A 21,525-nucleotide genomic window follows, 5' to 3' on the forward strand; every position below is an offset into this window, starting at 1 on the left:
CATTATTAACACAGGCCAACAGGACTAAAAGTTTGTATCAGTCCTTCCCAAAACATTAGGGAAGGTTGTGCGGGAAGGTAAAGCACAATTTTTGCCTTACAATAGGACTCCTTTGAAACTACTATTGAGTTCCCTTTTAAATAGCCCTTCAGAACCGCTTTTAATAATGTGTTGTTTCTGGGGGTTAATAGTGATAATTCTCCTAAGTCATTTTTCCATTTCGTTTTTCTGTCACGGGCTTGGAGCGGTTAAGAGACTGCGGCTCCCAGCATGCGGTACGTTACTGATCAGGGCAAAATCAAGTATGTTACTACATGCTTCTCAAACTAGAGAGGCACAGCCCCAATTCTGCACTGGCAGGATACAAAACAGCAGAATATTGGTGATACATCTTCCTGGAACATCAGTTTTTCTATGAGATGTGGAAGAAATGGAATTAAGTAGTTTACAAGGTAAATAATTAAGAATTTAAAACTAAGCCAGTCACAGTGGGTCATGCCTGTAATCCCAGCACTTTGGGAGGCTGAGGTGGGAGGATCACTTGAGCTTAGGAGTTCAAGACCAGCCTGGGCAATATAGTGAGACCCCATCTCCAAAAATAAAAATAAAACTAAGACAAGGCTGGAAAGTCATCTGCCATTATAAACATCAGTAATCTGGCCGAGCACAGTGGCTCACGCCTGTAGTCCCAGCACTTTGGGAGGCTGAGGTGGGAGGATCACTTGAACTCAGAAGTTCACGACCACCCTGGACAATATAGTAAGACCCCATCTCAAAAAAAAAAATTAAAACTAAGACAAGGCCGGAAAGTCATCTGCCACTAAAAACATCGGTAATCTGGCTGAGTGCTGTGGCTCACGCCTGTAGTCCCAGCAATTTGGGAGGCCGAGGCGAGCAGATCGCCTGAGGTCAGGAGTTCAAGACCACCCTGGCCAACATGGTGAAACGCTTTCTACTAAAAATACAAAAATTAACAGGGTGTGGTGGCGCATGCCTGTAATCCCAGCTACTCAAGAGGCTGAGGCAGAAGAATCACTCGAACCTGGGAGGCAGAGGTTGCAGTGAGTCAAGATCTCGCCACTGCACTTCTAGGCTGGGCGACAGAGTGAGACTCTGTCTCAAAAAAAAAAAAAAAGTCAAAATGTAATCTATGACTGAAATGTCACATTTTCTTTCCAAGGAAAAACCTAATGAGAACCTGTTTCCCATTATTTTAAACAGCAGAATTATAAGGCGTGGCAAGTTAATTAAAAAAAACCCTACTAATTTCCTAGATCACAATATGGCAGCTAGATGTTTTATAAATAACAGCTACTAATAACATGTTAAGATGTAAAAGGCTTAAAGCATTGCTTCTTGGTCACCTCATATTTAATGTAATTGTCACCAGACAGTTGCTTTGTGTGTGGTAGCAGTGGCCCAAGACTGAAACATCACGGATGTACCTCTCCTTTGTCGACATTCCAAAACTCCACAAAGTGACTGGTGTGATCCTGATGGTCTACCAATTGTATTTGGAAGCACCGTGAAGCTTTTCCAGCAAACCATTTAGTTTAAAATGTTGCATATTTTGAAGATGCAAAATAAATTCTATCTATGTAAATATCAGCTGAAAAATGTATTGAGAGATATAAACTGCCCTCTTCTCAAGAGAGACCCCACAGAGTCTTGCAGCTTTAAGTCCTCCTCTCTGGCTGCTGATAACCCCTAGATGTGGCGCCTCTTCCCTGAGCGGAGTATCCAGATGACTCTAGTACAAGGACTCACCCCTGACTTCTTCCCTTCTCACCCGCCATGCAATCCCACAGTAAGTCTTGTGGCCCTGCCTGCAGCACGCATCCTGATTGCAGCCTCTTCTTGCTCTCTGCGTTTCTACAGCCAGTTTCAGCCACCTTCGTCACTTACTGGCCTGCTGCCCAAGACTGCCTCCAAACCTTCTCCTTGCTGCCTCTCTTGCCCTCCCACAGTCCATTCTCCACTCAGCATCCAGAGTGATCTCTTAAAAACATGAAAAACATAATATACCCCCACAGCCCCATTTAGACCCTACCACTGGCTTCTCACTGTGATGGAATAAAAGCTTACACATTGGCCTGAGCCTGCCTCTTCAGCCTCATCTCCTTCCCTTGCTTATTCACACTCTGTCTGTCAGATTTTCTGGTCTCTAGAGCTGAAAGCAGTCTTAACTGACAAACAGATATTAGATCATAGAATCTAGAGCACAGGGTATGGAAGGAAAAGTGCAAGATGGAAAAGCCAGAAATGGTTAAAAAAAAAAAAAAGCACATGAAACAAAACATATCTATATGTATACCCAAAATAGTAACATAATTTTGAAAAATCTGAGCTAATAGACTTGCAAAGAAATAGAAATATCTTTGATCATATTCTGAAAACAAAAAAATATAGACTTAGTAAATATAAAAGGACAAAAATTTTACACATCCCATTTCCGGGCCATAATGCAATAAAGTTAGAAAGAACAGAAACAGAATTGGCCGGGTGCTGTGGCTCATGCCTGTAATCCCAGCACTTTGGGAAGCCAAAGCGGGTGGATCACGAGGTCAAGAGATCGAGACCATCCTGGCCAACATGGTGAAACCCTGTCTCTACTAAAAATACAAAAACTAGCTGGGTGTGGTGGCATGCGCCTGTAGTCCCAGCTACTTGGGAGGCTGAGGCAGGAGAATCACTTGAACCCGGGAGGTGGAGGTTACAGTGAGCCAAGATCTTGCCACTGCACTCCAGCCTGGCAACAGAGTGAGACTCTGTCTCAAAAAAACAAACAAAAACAACAACAAAAAAAAAAAACAGAGAAAGAAACAATTTAAAGATGCTCAACTCTTTGACAATGTTAAAATATTCTTTTAAATAAATTAATGCCTGGGTCAGGGTGCAAATCCAAAACACAATGACAGTGTCCATAAACTTCTGTGCTTGTAAATGTATCATAACCATATACAGGCCGTATTGGTGAAAGGAGACAGCTGTCTGACTCAGAAACACAGGGAGTGATCAGGTTATGTTCATTAGGATCCTAGCACTGCCCTGGAGTTGTTTAACATCATCTCTTTACAGTTAGGAGCAGACTGCAGGGAAATGTATCTATTGCAGACAACTGTGCTAAATCAGAGGCCGCCCTCCTGCTGAACCTGAACTTGACCTCACAGTTCCTGTCAGCACAGGGTTCTAGGCAGCTGCTACAAATCAACTGGTGTTGGCTTACAGATTGAAACTGCCCTCAGACAGCAGAGTGGAAACTGGCACCAATGGCTGCAATGGAGAAAATTAATGGCCTGTGGGCCACACACGGTGGCTCATGCCTGTAGTCCCAGCACTTTGGGAGGCCAAAGCGGGTGGATCACTTGAGGTCAGGAGTTCGAGACCAGTCTGGCCAACATGGTGAAACTCTGTCTCTACGAAAAATACAAAAGTTAACCGGGTGTGGTGGCGCATGCCTGTAATCCCAGCTACTCAGGAGGCTGAGGCAGGAGAATTGCTTGAACCCGGGAGGCGGCAGTTGCACTGAGCCGAGATGGTGCCACTGCATTCCAGCCTGGGCAACAGAGTGAGGCTCCATCTCAAAAATAATAATAAAATAATAATAATAATAATAATGGCCCCTGCTATGGTCTGAATGTTTGTGTTCCCCCAAAGCTCATGTATTGAAATGCAATCACCAATGTGATGGTATGAGGAGGTAGGGCATTTGGGAGGTTAGAAATGGGATTCATGCACTTATAAAGGAAGCCTCAGAGAGCTGCCTTTCCCCTCCTTCTATATGAGGACAGAGGGAGAAGATGCCATCTAATGAACAAGAAAGCGGCCCCTCCCCAGACACTGAATCTGCCAGTGCCTTGATCTTGGACTTCCCAGCCTCCACAACTGTGAGAAAGAAAAGTCTGTTGTTTATAAGTTACCCATTTTATGATGTTCCCTTATAGCAGCACAAATGGACTAAGACAGCCCCCAAGAAGAATGTATGACCCACCTAAGAACTAGACAGTGTCATTTTCTCCTGGGCTGCTCTCTCCGTGACTGGAGTGGAGATCAGTGAAGGACACAAACATTAACCATGGCAGCTCCATAGGCCATATCGCTGTACGGAGGTGCACAAATGAAGTCATGCCTTAAAAGCAGAACATGGCCAGGCATGGTGGCTCATGCCTGTAATCCTAACACTTTGGGAGGCTGAGGTGGGAGGATTGCTTGAGCCCAGGAGTTGGAGACCAGCCTGGGCAACATGGTGAGACCTTGTCTCTATAAAAATAAAAATAAATTAGCTGGGCCTGATGGCGCATGCCTGTAGTCCCAGCTACTCAGGAGGCTGAGGTGGCAGGATCACTTGAGTCTGGAACTTTGAAGCTGCAGTGAGCTATGATCACGCCGTTGTACCCCAGCCCAGGTGGCAGAACAAGACCCTGTCTCAAAAAAAAGCAGAACACAAAACAGTCTGTGGTCTGATTAAAGCTTTGTCACACATGCTCATAAAGAAATTTGGAAGAGAATTTGGAAATGGCTGAAATTTTTTCATAAAGATCATTCTTTTAATTTGTTTAAATTTAAAAACATAACATTGGTATATGAATTGGTACATGAAAATGAATTGGTACACGAAAAACTCAAATCTTAGCTATACAGAAACTTTCAATATCTAGAATGAGGCATTTCCCAAAGGCCTGTGTAACTTGGATTTTACTACATTTTGAAAACTGTTAAGGGCTAATGTAGTTGATGAAAGAATATTAATACACATTCACAGAGAAAGGACAATTGCTATAATATACACAATTATTAACATATAGTATTTTACATATATAATACCTATAATGAATCAGGCACTGCTATAAGCATTTTATATTCATTATCTCACATGAATCCTTTGTGAGGTAGATTTCAGTATCTTCAATTTAGAGTATTGTTGGTTCGTAAACAATACATAGAATTGAATAAAACACAGAAGGCTCTTAAAAACAGTGTTGACTGAAAAATGCATTTTGCAAGTGTAACGGATACATTTATAGAAAAGTTTAAAAACTTACAAAGTTAAACTGTATTGTTTAGACATATGTACATATATAGTAAAACTGTAATGATAGTCAAAGGAATTTTTTTTTTTTGAGGTAGTGTCTCACTCTGTCACCCAGGCTGGAGTGCAGTGGTGCAGTCTCAGCTCACTGCAGCCTCCACCTTCTGCGCTCAAGCGATCCTCCACCTCAGCGTCTCCACCCCTAGTAGCTGGGACTACAGTTGTGGGCCACCAACCTGGCCAGGAATAATTTTTAAACTTTAGATGAATGGTTCTCCTAGATGGGGAGGCAAAGGGTTATATTTGGGAGAGGCCATGCAGAAGGCTTCGTGGGTGGTGGTGAAATTGTATTTATTAGGCAGATGATAGGTGCAGAGTATTTATTTTATTTTTCTTTATATCATATATGTATACATATACAATTTTGTGTATATAAAATAGTTCATAATTTAAAAAATTTTTTGAACAGCTGTCTTGAGATATAGTTAACAGACCTTACATTTTGCTTATTTAGACTGTACAATTCAGTGGTTTTTAATATATTCACGGATATGTGCAGCCAACACCACAGTCAGTTTTATAACTTTTTTTTTTTTGAGACAGAGTATCATTCTGTCACCCAGGCTAGAGTGCAGTCTTGGCTCACTGCAGCCTTGAACTCCTGGGCTCAAGCAATCCTGCCTCAGCCTCCTGAGTAGCTGGGACTACAGGTACGCCCCACTCTGCCCAGCTAATTTTTTTTTTTTTTTTTTTTTTTTGTAGAGATGGGGTTTCGCCATGTTGCTCACGCTGGTCTCGAGCTCCTGAGCTCAAGGGACCACCCGCCTCGGCCCCGTGAAGTGCTGGGATTACAGGCGTGAGCCACAACGCGTAAACCCCGTATCCTTTAGCTGTCACCCTCCTATCCCTTCCTCCAGCCCTAAGCAACCACTAATATACTTTCTGTAAATTTGTCTTTTCTGGACATTTCATATAAAAGGAATCATATACTATGTGGACTTTTGTGACTGCCTTCTTTCACATAGCAAAATATCTTCAAGGTTCATTCAAGTTGCAGCATTGTGTCAGTACTTTATTCCTTTTATTACCATCATAATTGTTTTAAAAAATTTTTTATCTTGAATACTGGTGCTTGAGGAAAATAGTTTAATTAGAAGGAATTTTTTTTTTCGAGATGGCATCTTACTCTGTCACCCAGGCTGGAGTGCAATGGTATGGTCTCAGCTCACTGCAACCTCTGCCTCCCGGGTTCAAGCGATTCTCCCACCTCAGCCTCCTGAGTAGCTGAGACTGCAGGTGCATGCCACCACACCCGGCTGATTTTTGTGTTTTTAATAAAGACGGGGTTTCACTGTGTTGGCCAGGCTGGTCTCAAACTCTTGACCTCATGATCTGCCCGTCTCGGCCTCCCAAAGTGCTGGGATTATAGGCGTGAGCCAGAAGGAAATGAGAAAGAAAAGTTTTTTTGGAGATCCTAAAGGACTTTCAATTACTTCTAACATCTCTAGAGGTGGATGACGCTGGTTTTTGTTCCAGAATGTGACCTTGTTTTTTTGTTTTTTTTGTTTTTTTTTTGAGACAGAGTCTGACTCTGTTGGCCAGGCTGGAGTGCAGTGGCGCGATCTCAGCAACTTTTTTCAAAACTGGGAGTGCTATGCCATGGAGTGGATTTTTGGTTCCCAGTGAATGAGACAGGGAGTGGAAGAAGAGTTATTCTACTGAGGGAAGGGAACACACATATTGAAAAGAGACACAGCAGGAGGAAGGAGGAAGGGAGGGGAGCTGCTTGGAGCAGAATAAGCAGAGCTGTGGGCAAGGAAAGGCCGGTACTGGCCAGTGCAGGCACTGAGCGGAAGGATGAAAGGGATGTGGGAAGAACATCACGCCATAAATCCCCAAATTCCAGCACCTGGAGACGTGGGCCCCAGGAGCCTGGATATCCCCTCACAGGCGGGAGCTGGGGCTGGCGGGGCTCAGGCTCAAGCAGGGAGTCTGGACACGGGGGGCATGGATGTGCACACGGAAGGCCACAGCACTAGGTGCGGAACTTTAGGGAGAACCAGAGATACAGGGTCGCCCCGTCCCTGCCTTCCGGGGACCTTCCATCTCATAGGTGCATTTGTTATCTCTTTTCCATCTCTCCACAGTTCCTAGTTCCTGGAAGGGTATTCTGCATAGAATGCGAACACTGCAATTATTGACTAATAAGTGAAGAAATGAAGCATTTTACATTCAGAGTTTTGTTTTGTTTTGTTTTGTTTTTACCAAAAAGTGCAGTTTTTGAATGGATCTAGAGTTTCTGTTTTTCAAGATGAAAAAGCTCTGGAGATTGGTTGTACAACTATGTGAACACCCTTGACACTGATGAACTGTACACTTAAAAATAGTTAAGATGGAGGCCGGGTCTGGTGGCTCACACCTGTAATCCCAGCACTTTGCAAGGCTGAAGGGTGGATTGCTAGAGCTCAGGAGTTCAAGACCAGCCTGAGCAACATGGCAAAAACCCGTCTCTACAAAAAATACAAAAATTAGCCGGGCATGGGTTGCACGCACCTGTGATCCCAGCTACTTGGGAGGCTGAGGTAGGAGGATCACTGGAGCCTGGGAAGTCAAGGCTCCAGCGATCCTCACACCTCAGCCTCCCAAGTGAGGGAAGTCAAGTGAGTCGTGATTGTGCCTCTGCACTCCAGCCTAGGTGACAGGGAGACCCTGTCTCAAAAAAAAAATTGTTAAGATGGTAAATTTTATGTGTAGTTTACCACAATTAAAAATAAAAAAACAATGTTCTATCTCACATATAAAACTCTGCATCTTTGTCTTTTTAAAAGGTAACAATACAGACAAAATAGGAAACGAAAATCTAATTTTCCAGTATTAATGTTCACACTGAAGTCAATGGGAGGTATTCTATTTTTGGGTTTTTTTCCTCCCTAGAAAGTAAGTACATACTTAGTAACTTTAGATGTTTGAAAAACGGGAGGGGTTGAGAAAAAGAAATACATAATAAGTGACGCACACTGTAAAATTTTCTTGCATTTGATTAACACATACATAGACTTTTGGATCTGAGTTTTTTTCAGGGACACATTTGTTTACAATTAAAATGTGGATTTTATCTCTTTTATTCATCTTGAATTCAGTCATGTTCCTGAGCAGTCATCAAAGCATTCTTACATCCAGCCTGGGCTTCTCTCCCTGAAAATGTTGTTTATTGGAAAAGAAAAAGGAAGTTGCCTTGAGTCAGCTAACCTTGGCCATTGCACTGCTTTCACTAGAGCTGTTTTTATTTAATGTGTCTATAAAGCTTTGCTCCGTTCGTAATATTTTAGCCTCTGTCTCCCTGAATTCATCAAACCAGTCCCATTTTAATCCCAGTTACAAGTAGAGGGGCACCCTCTCAGTCTAATACCTGGTGTGGATGACAAGTCTTGGGAACTTGCTGGAATTGTTGGGAGATATGTCACTGTTTAGTAATGTACATGCTTGTGAATATTAGGTGCAGTGAGAATTCAGGTTCAATTCATCATGTTCTTTGTCCCAGTTGTGTCCTGCAATTAGTGTTTCTTTTTTTTTTGAGACAAGGTCTCACTCTGTCGCCCAGGCTGGAGTGCAGTGGCACGATCACAGCTCACTGCAACCTTAACTCCCAGGCTCAGGTGATTCTCTCACCTCAGCCTCTCAAGTACATGGGACTACAAGCACACACCACTATACCCAGCTAATTTTTGTATTTTTTGTAGAGATGAGGTTTCACCATGTTGCCCAGGCTGGTCTTGAACTCCTGGGCTCAAGCAGTCCACCCACTTCAGCCTCCCAGAGTGCCGGGATTACAGGTGTGAGTCACTGCACTGGGCCACAATTAGTATTTGTGATGTTAGAAACTAAAAGTGCTGGTAAGCCTTGGAAAGAAAAATCCTGTGGTCTCTGAGAGCTTCAAATTTAATCTTGGCCTCATTACCTAATCACATCAGAAGAAGAGAATCTGTGAAAAATGGAAGTGATCAAAGGACGATGGGTTCCCAGGAGAAGGGAATCTCATGGCTTCCAATCTATTCACAGCTTTGACCTGCAGACTTTAGATATGGGAGGAATAGACTAAAAACAAACTTTGTCATTGTTGTTATTGCCTTGGAGACGGGGTCTCACTCTATCACTCAGGCTGGGGTGCAGTCTCAGTTCACTGCAACCTCTGCTCCCCAGGTTCAAGTGATCCTTCAACATCAGCCTCCTGAGTAGCTGGGACTACAGGTGTGTGCCACCACACCTGGCTAATTTTTGTACTTTTTGTAGAGACTGGGTCTCGCTATGTTTCCCAGGCTGGTCTTGAACTCCTGGACTCAAGTGATCATCCACCTTGGCCTCCCAAAGTGCTGGGATTACAGGCATGAGCCACTGCATCTGGAAAAGCAAATTTCTTATTTTGCAATTTGGCCTTGGGGCCTGAGTGGCCAAGCTATGATTGTCTGTTTCCTCTTTGGAGTGGGGAAATGTGTGAGCTGAAGCACCAGTCACATACACACATGTCTATATGCATTTCTGTACAACCCAAGAGATCCAACTTTAGTAAGAGGGAAAGGAAATCAGAACATAGAGGGGGCCTGCTGTTTACCAGTAACTTGTAATCAACATGTCATTGAGTCCCATCTGCAATGGGTGTGTGTATGAGTTAGCTATTGCTACATAACAAACCATCCCAGAACTTAATTAGCTCATAATTGAGCTGGTTAGCAATTTAGGCTGGGCTCAGCTGGGCCATTCTTCTGGTCTCAACTCAGCTCTATGTGTGTGGTGTGTGTATGTGTGTATGTTTAGCTCTGCTTCTGGGGGTGAGCTGGCTGTCAACTGGGGTACCTTGGTTCTCCTGCTTATGGTATCTCTTCCTCCAGCAGGCTAACATGGGCTTGTTTTCATGGAGATGGCGGGGTTCTGAAAGAAAAAACAGAAGCATTCAAGATCTTTGAGCCTAACCCTGAAACTGGCACACTGTCATACTCTCTGCATTCTGTTGGCCAGAGTAAATAAGGCAACCCAGATACAAGACTGGGGGAAACAAATTCTGTCTGTTTATGGGAGCAGCTATAAAATCTCATTGCAAAGGGCATAGATAGGGAAGTATGAAGAATTGCTATTATTTTTTCAATCAGTATCATTATGCCTTTTCTTGCAGGTGAGATTTACCTAATAGTTCCAGATCAAATTCAAAACCTTGAAGTTACTAAGTGACTAGACTGTGACTCAGTAGTATCAACTATACTTGACTCCAAAGCCCAGACACCTGTATAGACCATAGTACTCATGCATCTCCCCTAGGCCTTCAAGATTCTGGAGAGTGACACTTCCGTAAATGCCCATCTAGGGCTCTTCACTTATACCCATTGGGTATAATTCCCTCCAGAGAAAGCTGAACTGTCTTGGAAGAACTTAAAATAACTTAGGGAAACAGCTGAGGGCTGAGTTTAGGAATCAAGGCTCCAGCAATATATTTTTTATTTCTAATTATAGGGGAAATTTGAAAACATATATAATGCACTCCATATGTTTGCAAATTCTTTTCATCCATTTTTGGTATTTGTAGGCTATTTATGATTTTCAAAGCAAGCTAAATCAAACTGTGCCTGAAACAACCTCTTACTCTGAAAAGCAAGCAACATAAAGATAGATCTGCTGAGAAGACATTTCCACCTGCTGCAGTTTAGCCAAACAGCTGACTGTGTATTGAAGCAGTCCTTTGATTTTAACAGGGCAAAGCTGTATCCAAGACCCCAAACTGAGGAACTGCCATGGGGCACACATGAAAATCACACACAGCTAATGTATCTCTCACCCTGAACCAGTGATCCATATCCATGGCTGCACATTAAAATCACCTGGGGAGCTTTTAAAATTCCCAAAACCCAAACTACAACAGACCTGTTAAATTGGATTCCCTGGAGTGGGACCCAGGCAGCAGTGTTGTTTAAAGCTCTCCATGTGATTATATTGTGTGGTCAAGGCTGCAAACCCACTGCTTTAAACCAGTATCTTTTGATGACCTAGTTGCAAATAATTTCTCAAATAAATGTAAAATGTTTGCTGCTGAATTGTAGGCTTTCCGTCTTATTTGTGGTACCTACTTACTATCTTTGCACAAACCGATCTCTACTGCTTGTTTTATTCCTGGATCAACCCCATTCCATGGGTTTTGAGGGCATTTTATGTGCAGGACAGTGTGCTAGGTGCCATGGCCTTGGTGAGCATCATTGTTGGGGGAGGACTTTGCTGGGGAAAAAAAAAATGTATTATAAAAACTCAAAACCATGCCATTTAGCGAACTGAGGCAAAAATGCAAATATCTGGGTGGTCGCCTGAGAGAACATGAATAGATATCTTGGAATTTTAAAATCCATGTGATGACACCATAAGTGAATGTATTCCACTTTTTAAAAAATGCTGCTGTTATTCTCAGATACTGAGTTAGGATTTTTGTGTCAGCATGACGCTGCCTGGCCTCATCACTTGGGTTTGGAAGTGCTCTCTTCAATTTTTTAAAAGAGTTTGAAGAAGATCGGTGTTCTCCATTAAAGGTTTGGTAGAATTCACCAGTGAAGCCAACGGGTTCAGGGCTGTTTGTTTTTGGTCAGGAGGTTTTTGATTACCGATTCAGTCCCCTTAATGATGGATCTATTCAGATTTTGTATTTCTTTGCAATTCAGTATTTTGTGTCTCTAGGAATTTGCCCATTTTATCTAGGTTGTCCAGTTTGTTGGCATATAGTTGTTGACAGTGCACCCTTATAATCCTTTTTATTTCTCTAGAATTGATAGTCATGTCCCCACTTTAATTTTGATTTTAGTAACTTGTTTCTTCTGTCCTTTTTTCTTAGTCAAACTAAAGGTTTGTCAATTTTGTTAATCTTCTTGAAGAACTGACTCTTGGGTTTGTTGATTTTCTTGTGTTTTTCTATTCTCCATTATTTATCTCTGCTCTAATCTTTACTATTTCCTCCTTCTAACTTTGGATGTAGTTCTTTTTCTCATTTCTTAAGTTGTAAAGTTTGGTTGTTGATTTGAAATCTTTCTTCCTTTTTAATGTAATACAGCTATAAATTTCCCGCTTAGGATTGCTTTCAAAGTGTCTCATAAGTTTTAGTATGCTGTCTTCATTTTCACTGGTCTCTAGTACTTTCTAATTTCCCTTGATTTCTTCTTTGACCTGTGGTTGTTTATGAATGTATTGCTTAATTTTTTTAGTTTTCCTTCTATTATTGATTTCTAACTTCATCCTGTTGTGGTCAGGGAATATACTATGTATGACATCTATTATTTTTTTCCCCAACACAGGGTCTCACTCTGTCACCCAGGCTGGAGTGCAGTGGCCCAACCTTGGCTCAACACAACCTCCACCTCCTGGGTTCAAGCAATTCTTCTTCTTGCCTCAGCCTCCCAAGTAGCTGGAATTATGGGTGGCCATCACCATGCCCAGCTAATTTTAGTAGAGACAGAGTTTCACCATGTTGGCCAGGCTGGTCTCGAACTCCTGACCTCAGGTGATCCACCTGCCTTGGCCTCCCAAAGTGCTGGGATTACAGGCATGAGCCACCACGCCCAGCCTCAGTTTTCATTTATAGTTTTGCCCCTAGTCTTTGGAGTAGATTCCTCCCTTCCATGAGCCAGAGAACTCACTAAGTCCATTGCACTATGAACTCACAGAGAATTCACTGCGCATATTCCACAGTGAACTCACAAAGAACTCACTGTGTCCATTGCACTGTAAACTCACAGAGAACTCACTATGTCCATTGCACTTTGAACTTGCAGAGAACTCACTATGTACATTGCACTGTGAACTCATGGAGAACTCACTATGCCCACTGCAGTATCTAAATGTAAAGGTTGCAGCTATGGGTCAAAAAACCAGCTCCTAGAATCTTTAATTTTTTGAAGGATTTTTCATGTCTCTATCTCCTTCAGTTCTGCTCTAACCTTAGTTATTTCTTGTCTTCTGCTAGCTTTTGAATTTGTTTGCTGTTACTTCTCTAGTTCTTTTAATTGTGATGTTAGGGTGTCGATTTTAGATCTTTCCTGCTTTCTCTTGTGGGCATTTAGTGCTATAAATTACTCTCTACACACTGCTTTAAATGTGTCCCAGAGATTCTGGTACATTGTGTCTTTGTTCTCATTGGTTTCCAAAAACATTTATTTCTGCCTTCATTTCGTTATTTACCCAGTAGTCATTCAGGAGCAGGTTGTTCAATTTCCATGTAGTTGTGCGGTTTTTAGTGAGTTTCTTAATTCTGATTTCTAATTTGGTTGTACTGTGGTCTGCGAGACAGTTTGTTGTGATGTCTGCTCTTTTACGTTTGCTGAGGAGTGCTTTACTTCCAATTAAGTGGTCAATTTTAGAATAAGTGCGATATGGTGCTGAGAAGAATGTATATTCTGTTGATTTGGGGTGGAGAGTTCTGTAGATGTCTGTTAGGTCCGCTTGGTCCAGAGCTGAGTTCAAGTCCTGGATATCCTTGTTAATTTTCTGTCTCACTGATCTGTCTAATATTGACAGTGGGGTATCAAAGTCTCCCAATATTATTCTGTGGGAGTCTAAGTCTCTTTGTAGGTCTCTAAGTACTTGCTTTATGAATCTGAGTGCTCCTGTATGGGGTGCATATATATTTAGGATAGTTAGCTCTTCTTGTTGCATTGATCCCTTTACCATTATGTAATGCCCTTCTTTTTCTCTTTTGGTCTTTGTTGGTTTAAAGTCTGTTTTATCAGAGACTAGGATTGCAACCCCTGCTTTTTTTTTTTTTTTTTTTTCCATTTGCTTTGTAGATCTTCCTCCATCCCTTTATTTTGACCCTATGTGTGTTTTTTCACGTGAAGTGGGTCTCCTGAATACAGCACACTGATGCAGTCTGTGTCTTTTAATTGGGGCATTTAGACCAATTACATTTAAGGTTAAGATTGTTATGTGTGAATTTGATCCTGTCATTATGATGTTAGCTGGTTATTTTGCCCATTAGTTGATGCAGTTTCTTCATAATGTTGATGGTCTTTAAAATTCGGCATGTTTTTGCAGTGACTGGTACCAGTTGTTCATTTCCATGTTTAGTGCTTCCTTCAGGAGCTCTTGTAAGGCAGGCCTAATGGTGACAAAATCTCTCAGCATTTGCTTATCTGTAAAGGATTTTATTTCTCCTTCACTTATGAAGCTTAGTTTGGCTGGATATGAAATTCTAGGTTGAAAATTCTTTTCTTTAAGAATGTTGAGTATTGGCTCTCACTCTCTTCTGGCTTGTAGGGTTTCTGTAGAGAGATCTGCTGTTAGTCTGATGGGCTTCCCTTTGTGAGTAACCCGACCTTTCTCCCTGGCTGCCCTTAACATTTTTTCCTTCATTTCAACTTTGTTGAATCTGATGATTATGTGTCTTGGGGTTGCTCTTCTCGAGGAGTATCTTTATGGTGTTCTCTGTATTTCCTGAATTTGAATATTGGCCTGCCTTGCTAGGTTGGGTAAGTTCTCCTGGATAATATCCTGAAGAGTGTTTTCCAACTTGGTCCATTCTCCCCATCACTTTCAGGTACACCAATCAAATGTAGATTTGGTCTTTTCACCTAGTCCCATATTTCTTGGAGGCTTTGTTCATTTCTTCTCACTCTGTTTTTCTCTGATCTTGTCTTCTTGCTTTATTTCATTAAGTCAATCTTCAGTCACTGATATCCTTTCTTCCACATGATTGATTTGGCTATTGAAGCTTTTGTATGCTTCACGAAATTCTCGTGTTGTGTTTTTCAGCTCCATCAGGTCATTTATAGTCTTCTCTACACTGCTTATTCTAGTTAGCAATTCATCTAACCTTTTTTCAAGGTTCTTAGCTTCCTTGTGGTGGGTTAGAATATGCCCCTTTAGCTCAGAGGAGTCTGTTATTACCGACCTTCTGTAGCCTACTTCTGTCAATTCTTCCACCTCATTCTCCCTCCAGTTTTGTTCCCTTGCTGCCGAGGAGTTGTGATCCTTTGGAGGAGGAGAGGCATTCTGCTTTTTGGAATTTTCAGCCTTTCTGCGCTGGTTTCTCCCCATGTTTGTGGTTTTATCTACTTTTGGTCTTTGATTTGGTGACCTACAGATGGGGTTTTGGTGTGGATGTCTTTTTTGTTGATGTTGATGCTATTCCTTTCGTTTGTTAGTTTTTCTTCTAACAGTCAGACCTCTCAGCTGCAGGTCTGTTGGAGTTTGCTCCACTCCAGACCCTGTTTTCCTGGGTATCACCAGTGGAGGCTGCAGAACAACAAAGTTTGCTGCCTGATCCTTCATCTGGAAGCTTCATCCGAGAGGGGCACCCACCAGTTGCCAGCCAGAGCTCTCCTGTATGAGGTGTCCGTTGGCCCCTATTGGGAGGTGTCTCCCAGTCAGGCTACACGAGGGTCAGTGACCCACTTGAGGAGGCAGTCTGTCCATTATCAGAGCTCGAATGCTGTGCTGGGAGAACCACTTCTCTCTCCAGAGCTGTCAGCCAGGGACGTTTAAGTCCCTGAAGCTGTGCCCACAGCTGCCCCTTCCCCTAGGTGCTCTGTCCCAGGGAGATGGGGGCTTTATCTGTAAGTCCCTGACTGTGGCTGCTGCCTTCTGTTCAGAGATGCCCTGCCCAGAGATGTGGAATCTAGAGAGGCCGTTGGCCTTGCTGAGCACAGTGGGCTCTGCCTGGTTTGAATTTCTCAGAAGCTTTGTTTACACTGTGAGCAAAAAACCGTCTACAAGCCTCAGCAATGGTGGATGCCCCTCCCCGCTCCAAGCTCCAACATCCCAGGTTGATCTCAGATTGCTGCACTAGCAGCGAGAATTTCAAGCCAATTGATCGTAGCTTGTTGGGCTCCGTGGGCGTGGGACACACCAAGCCAGGCACCAGAGGGAATCTCCTGGTCTGCCGGTTGCAAAGACCATGGGAAAAGCACAGTATCTGGGCAGTAGTGTACTGTTCCTCCCAGTACATTCTCTCACGGCTTCCCTTGGTTAGGAAAGGGAAATCCCCCAACTCCTTGCGCTTCCTGGGTGAGGTGACACCTCGCCCTGCTTTGGCTCACCCTCCACGGGCTGCACCCACTGTCCAACCAGTCCCATTGAGATGAACCAGGTACCTCAGGTGGAAATGCAGAAAACACCCATCTTCTTTGTTGATCTTGCTGGAAGCTGCAGGCTGGAGCTGTTCCTATTCAGATATCTTGCCAGGAATCCCCATCAGTCTCCTTTAATTTAGCTATTCTGGAGGATGTGTGGTGATATCTCATTGATTTTCATTTGCATTTACATGATTATTGAGGAAATTGAACACATTTGGAGATGATTTTTAATAAATTATCTATTCAGCCTTCTACTCATTTTTCTATTATTTGTCTTTTTCTTATTGTTTATAGGAGTTCTCTACACATTCTGGTTGTGATTCCTTTGTCTGTTACCTGTATGTATATATTTTCTCCCACTCTAAAACTTGCCTCTTCACTTTCTTAATGGTCTTTTGATAAATAAAAATTATTAATTTGAATGCGGTCTAATTTATCAATCTCTTTCTTTATAGCTATTGGTTTTTGTTATCTGTTTAAAAAATATTTCCCTACTCAAAGTTATAAAAATAATTTATTTTATTTTTTAATATTTATGTTTAAAGCCACATTCCTTCTGAAATTGATTTTTGTGGGTGGTTTAGGATGTGTTTCAAGATTTTCTTTTTACACATGGCTATCTAATTGATCTGTCAGCATTAATTTCTTAAATATATTTTTAATTTTTTTGTATTTTTTGTAGAGATGGGGTCTTGCTGTGTTGCCCAGACTGGTCTCAAACTCCTGAGCTCAAGTGATCCACCCACCGTGGCCTCCCAAAGTGCTGAGATTAAAGGTATGAGCCACCGTGTCTAGCTACTTGTATTTTTGTACCCATTAGTCAACCTCTCTTCACCCTCCCTCCTTCTCACTACCCTTCCTGGCCTCGTAACTACTGGATAGAGTATATCTTCATGAGATCCACTTTCTTCAGTTTCACGTGACTGAGAACATGCAGTATTTGATTTTCTGTTTCTGAGTTATTTCACTTGGGATAACAGCCTCCAGCTCCATCCACATTACATTACTGCAAATGACAAGATTTCATTTCTTTCTATGGCTGTATAATATTCTGGTGTGTGTGTGTGTGTGTGTGTGTGTGTATCACGTTTTTTTTCTTCATTCATCTGTTGATGGGCACAATCTCGGCTCACTGCAACCTCTACCTCCCGGGTTTAAGCAATTCTCCTGCCTCACCCTCCTGATTAGCTAGGACTACAGGCGTGTGCCACCATGCCCAGATATTTTCTGTATTTTTGGTAGAGACAGCATTTTGCCATGTTGGCCAGGCTGGTCTCAAACTCCTGGCCTCAAGTGATCTGCTCGTCTCAGCCTCCCAAAGTGCCGGGATTACAGATGTGAGCCACTGCACCTGGCCAAATTTTGGCGATCATGAAGAGTACTGCACTAGACGTGGAGTGCAGAATCTCTTCCATATATTGATTTCCTTTCTTTTAGGTAGATACTACATACGTTTTAATCCCTGTCTTAACTTACGTAAGGCTATATTAACTATTTTAACTGTGGATCTGTGGGATCCCATTTTGTTATTTTTATTTTTTATTTATTTATTTATTTTTTTGAGAGGGAGTCTCCGTCTATTGCCCTGGCTGGAGTGCAGTGGTGCGATCTCGGCTTGCTGCAACCTCTGTCTCTTGGGTTCAAGCCATTCTCCTGCCTCAACCTCCCAAGTAGCTGGGATTATAGTTCAGGCAGCCACCATGACGCCTGGCTATTTTTTGTATTTTTAGTAGAGAAGGGGTTTCGTCATGTTGGCCAGACTGGTCCTGAACTCCTGACCTCAGGTGATCTGCCTGCCTCGGCCTCCCAAAGTGTTAGGATTACAAGTGCGAGCTACCGTGCGCAGCCGCTGGGATCCCATTTTAATCAAGCCAATTTGTAAGTGCCAAAAATTTGACTTTTTAAATTTATTATTCATTGTGTTAGCACATCTGTTCCTAATATCAGATATTTTAGGGCAATGGCTACTATGACTATGGGATAGTTAGGCAAGAGTATAAAGTGTGCCACACCTATATTTCCTCTATTTTATATTTGCTTTCCTAAGATTATCGGGAGTACAGTGTTTAAACTTAGTGGCATCTCAAAGTATAATTTGAGCTTCTGCATTGATTAAGTCTACGAATTGGAAATTTTTGGATTTCCAATTGGGTTAAATTGTGGACCTTTGTATATGTAAATACATATAAATTTTAAAATTTAAAAATATTATAGACACGTTATTTATTTAGCTCTTATTTTTTTCCCCCATATCTGGGTTGCTTTTTCCTCCTTGGGCTTCAAAGACTCCCACTCCACCTCCCACAGATTGAGGTTTGCAGTTAAAGAGTAATCGCAGTCTCTCCCGCGATTTAGATCCAAGAGCACATTTAGAAGCCCCTGTCTAACCATGTGTAACAATGCACTTAGACCCCTTGCCTGAAGTATCAGTCCTTTTTCATTGTCTATCTGGGCAAAATCGTTTATTTATCTATTTATTTACTTATTTATTTTTAAAATGGGGTCTGGCTCTTGTTGCCCAGGCTGGAGTGCAGTGGTGCCATCTCAGCTCACTGCAACCTCCACCTCTCAGGCTCAAGCCATCCTCCCCTGTCAGTCTTCCAAGTAGCTGGGACTACAGGCACATGCCATTACACCCTGCTGACTTTTGTACCAATTTTTGTATTTTGGGTAGAGACAGGGTTTCGCCATGTTGCCCAGGCTGGTCTCTAACTCCTGCGCTCCAGCGATCAGCCGGCCTTGGCCTCCCAAAGTGCTGGGATTACAGAGCCACCACGTGCAGCATGGCAAAATCGTTCAGAATGCCTTATATCTCTAGGTGGGAAAGAAAAAATTTTCTGTCTCCTGTGTCCAGCCCTTTTTACCTTTCAGTGTTTACTGGATAAACTCTGGTGGTTCCGAGTGGAGTGGCCCTGCCTGTAGGCAGTGGTCTTCTTTTCCAGAGTGTCCCAAGCAACCTTGCCAGGGTGGGGTCAGCATCTAGCCGGGCTACTGTGGCCTTGCCCCAATTTTCTAGGCTACAGGCCCTTGTTGAGTTCACAGGCAGCAGTGCTCAATAAAGTCTGGGCACACTGCTGGATGCTCTGCACTCCTAAATCAACTGCATGACCCGCTCTGGGGTTTTAAAAGGGGCCAGAAGGAAATGCTGCTTGCTCTTTTTCCTTAGACGTCATACCATGGGTCTCCAACGATGGGATCTCATATCACAGTCACGGATGAATATAGACAGCAACAACATGAGACTAGGTCCAGAACAGCACCTTGGTGGGGGCCGTGGCCCAAGGTGGATGCCACACACTAACTCCGTGTGGGGCTGGAAGCATGTGAACAGCTCCAAAACACATCCTCCCTCCACTGAACATGGTGGCCTGAAATGTCCAGAGCAAGGCGTGTCAGGCACGTGCTTGCAGGGTGCATGTGAAAGCATCAAGTTCACAGACTGCCAATGAGGGCCACACACCCCAGCCCTGATAGCTCCCTCTGCGCCCAGAGCCATGCTGGGGTGCAGCGTGTGGACTCCATGCCCTGATTTACTTTCGGTGTGGTTGGGTGGGTGACAAACGGGATTGTTTCAATCCTTTAGCCACTTTCCCTTGATTTCTCACAAGCCCCAAATATGGGTGGTGCCGATCCAGAGACACCTCCAGCCTTCTCAGACTTGGGGCTGGGCTGTCCCATGCTGGCTCTGATTGGCAGCATAGGCCATTTACCGGCCAAAGGCCCCTTTGAAGGAAACAGTACAGTGAGCGCCCTCGGCCTGCTACACACAGAGGCTCTGGAGGAGAGAGGGAGGAAGTCCTTAAGCCAGGGTCTTTGCTCCCAGGTTCTGGGGTTCCTGATCTGCCAGAAGGAGAAAAGGCAGAGGTGGGTATGGGGCTGAGGCAAAGCTTCACAGGGAGGTGCAATAAACATGCTCCCCTTGGGCAGAGCCCCACAAAGGTCAAACAAGGGAGGGACAAAAAAACTGTATATATTTACCTTTGAACAGTTTTCTTCCTCCCTGCTCCTCTGGTCACCTCCAACTTTCTTGCTAGATCAATTCCTGGTTTCTGGGATATAATTTGCGCAGAACCCAGGTGCTAGGAAAATTTTTTTAAAAAGAAAATTATAGCATCCAGAAAGGTTAAATGGATGATAGAATAGAGATAGGCAGAGGCTAGGTGTGTTGGCTCGTACCTGCAATCCCAGCACTCTGGGAGGCCGAGGTGGGAGGATTGCTTGAGCTCAGGAGTTTGAGACCAGCCTGGGCAACACAGCAAGACCCCTGTCTCTACAAAAATAAAAAGATTAGCCATGTGGGTGGTGCATGCCTGTAGTCCCAGCTACTCAGGAGGCTGAGGTGGGAGGATCACTTGAGCCCAGGAGTTCGAGGATACAGTGAGCCATGATTGTGCCACTGCACTCCAGCCTGAGTGATAGAGTGAGACCCTGTCTCTATAAAGAGAGAGAGAGAGAGAGAGTGAGAGAGAAGCAGAGAATGGAGAATGAAGGAGAGAGAGGAGAGAGAGGGGTCTTGCGGGCTGGGTCTTAGACAGTTGAGGGTGTCAGAGGCAGGGTCTTCAGGAGGCTGAAAGGTGGTGGTAAGGGAGTGTGGGGGGCGGGGGAGATCAAGAGACATAATTTTTAATAGATGTTTTGCTGTGTCTTAAGAACAAATGTTTCTTCTTAGCATTACCTCAAAGGACTACATAAAGGTTTGGACTGCTTTCAGTCTTACTTTATGTCAGGCTAGTATTTTTTGGAAGGTGACACTAGGCAAGGATGGGCCATATTGGGGTTCCATGTTTATATGGGTAACATTGCACTAAGACTTGTGTTTTCATAAACAACAGTCAGTGAGGATTTTGCTGCCACCCAATTTTTATAGAAGAGCAGAAGCACTCCTGCCTTCATGTTGTGGAAGATAGAGAAGGTGGGTGTGGGATCTAAGGACAGCAATCCTGACTTCACCTTCTTCCCCAAGGGCGGGGTCAGAAGCCCAGATCTTCCTGTTCTGATCTCAGTCTTGGAGGTAAATCAGGTACCTCGGGCTTTTCTTCTGAAGAAACATCCACACAATGCCAAACAAACTGGGGGACATCGAGCGATTTGGCCTACAAGAGTTGCAGAATAACCGAAGAGGGGGTTGGCTCTCGGTCTCTGCTTTATTCCACGGCTTTGTTTCCACTCACTTGTAACTGAGGATTGGCGGTTTCAGACCCCGCACAAAAGTCTTTGTGAGTTTTCTCAGCCGCAGACACTTGGGCCTCTTTGTTTTGGATGGCAATGTCACACCGAATGCAAATTCGAGGAGGTTCTTTGCTGAATGCAGGACAGGAGGCCTGTGCAGGAGACAATGGGAGTGAAGAGGGAAACCTGCCGGCGTACAGACAGTTAAGGCAGCCAGGAAGCCGCGCGCTCCGT

At 43.4% G+C, this 21,525-nt stretch overlaps 2 long non-coding RNA genes across 5 annotated transcripts in view, besides 1 other annotated feature; one reads left to right on the top strand and one right to left on the bottom strand.

Annotated features, from left to right (window-relative positions):
• The window catches only part of LYRM4-AS1 (LYRM4 antisense RNA 1), a 236,681-nt gene that overhangs the window by 761 nt on the left and 214,395 nt on the right, over positions 1 to 21,525 (top strand). For all 3 annotated transcript variants that reach the window (NR_126015.1, NR_126016.1, NR_126017.1), the window contains exon 2: positions 16,805 to 16,897. This is a non-coding gene — a long non-coding RNA (LYRM4 antisense RNA 1). The remainder of the gene's footprint in view (positions 1 to 16,804; positions 16,898 to 21,525) is intronic.
• Positions 2,985 to 3,185: a silencer, noted in NCBI's record as "peak5630 fragment used in MPRA reporter construct". NCBI's record gives its function as "represses an SCP1 promoter by STARR-seq MPRAs in K562 erythroleukemia cells {active_cell/tissue: K562}" and the evidence as "EXISTENCE:reporter gene assay evidence [ECO:0000049][PMID:32103011]".
• LOC124901248 (uncharacterized) lies at positions 9,762 to 21,407 on the bottom strand. Of its 2 annotated transcripts, none has more exons than XR_007059422.1 (3): positions 21,294 to 21,407; positions 20,101 to 20,201; positions 9,762 to 9,955 (listed from the first exon to the last, which is right to left on the bottom strand). It is a non-coding gene; the product is annotated as an uncharacterized LOC124901248 (long non-coding RNA). The 2 variants fall into 2 exon arrangements; XR_007059421.1 differs by having other exon boundaries at positions 21,073 to 21,407.

The sequence above is a fragment of the Homo sapiens genome, chromosome 6, assembly GCF_000001405.40.
Source record: "Homo sapiens chromosome 6, GRCh38.p14 Primary Assembly".
Taxonomy (NCBI): Eukaryota; Metazoa; Chordata; class Mammalia; order Primates; family Hominidae; genus Homo; species Homo sapiens.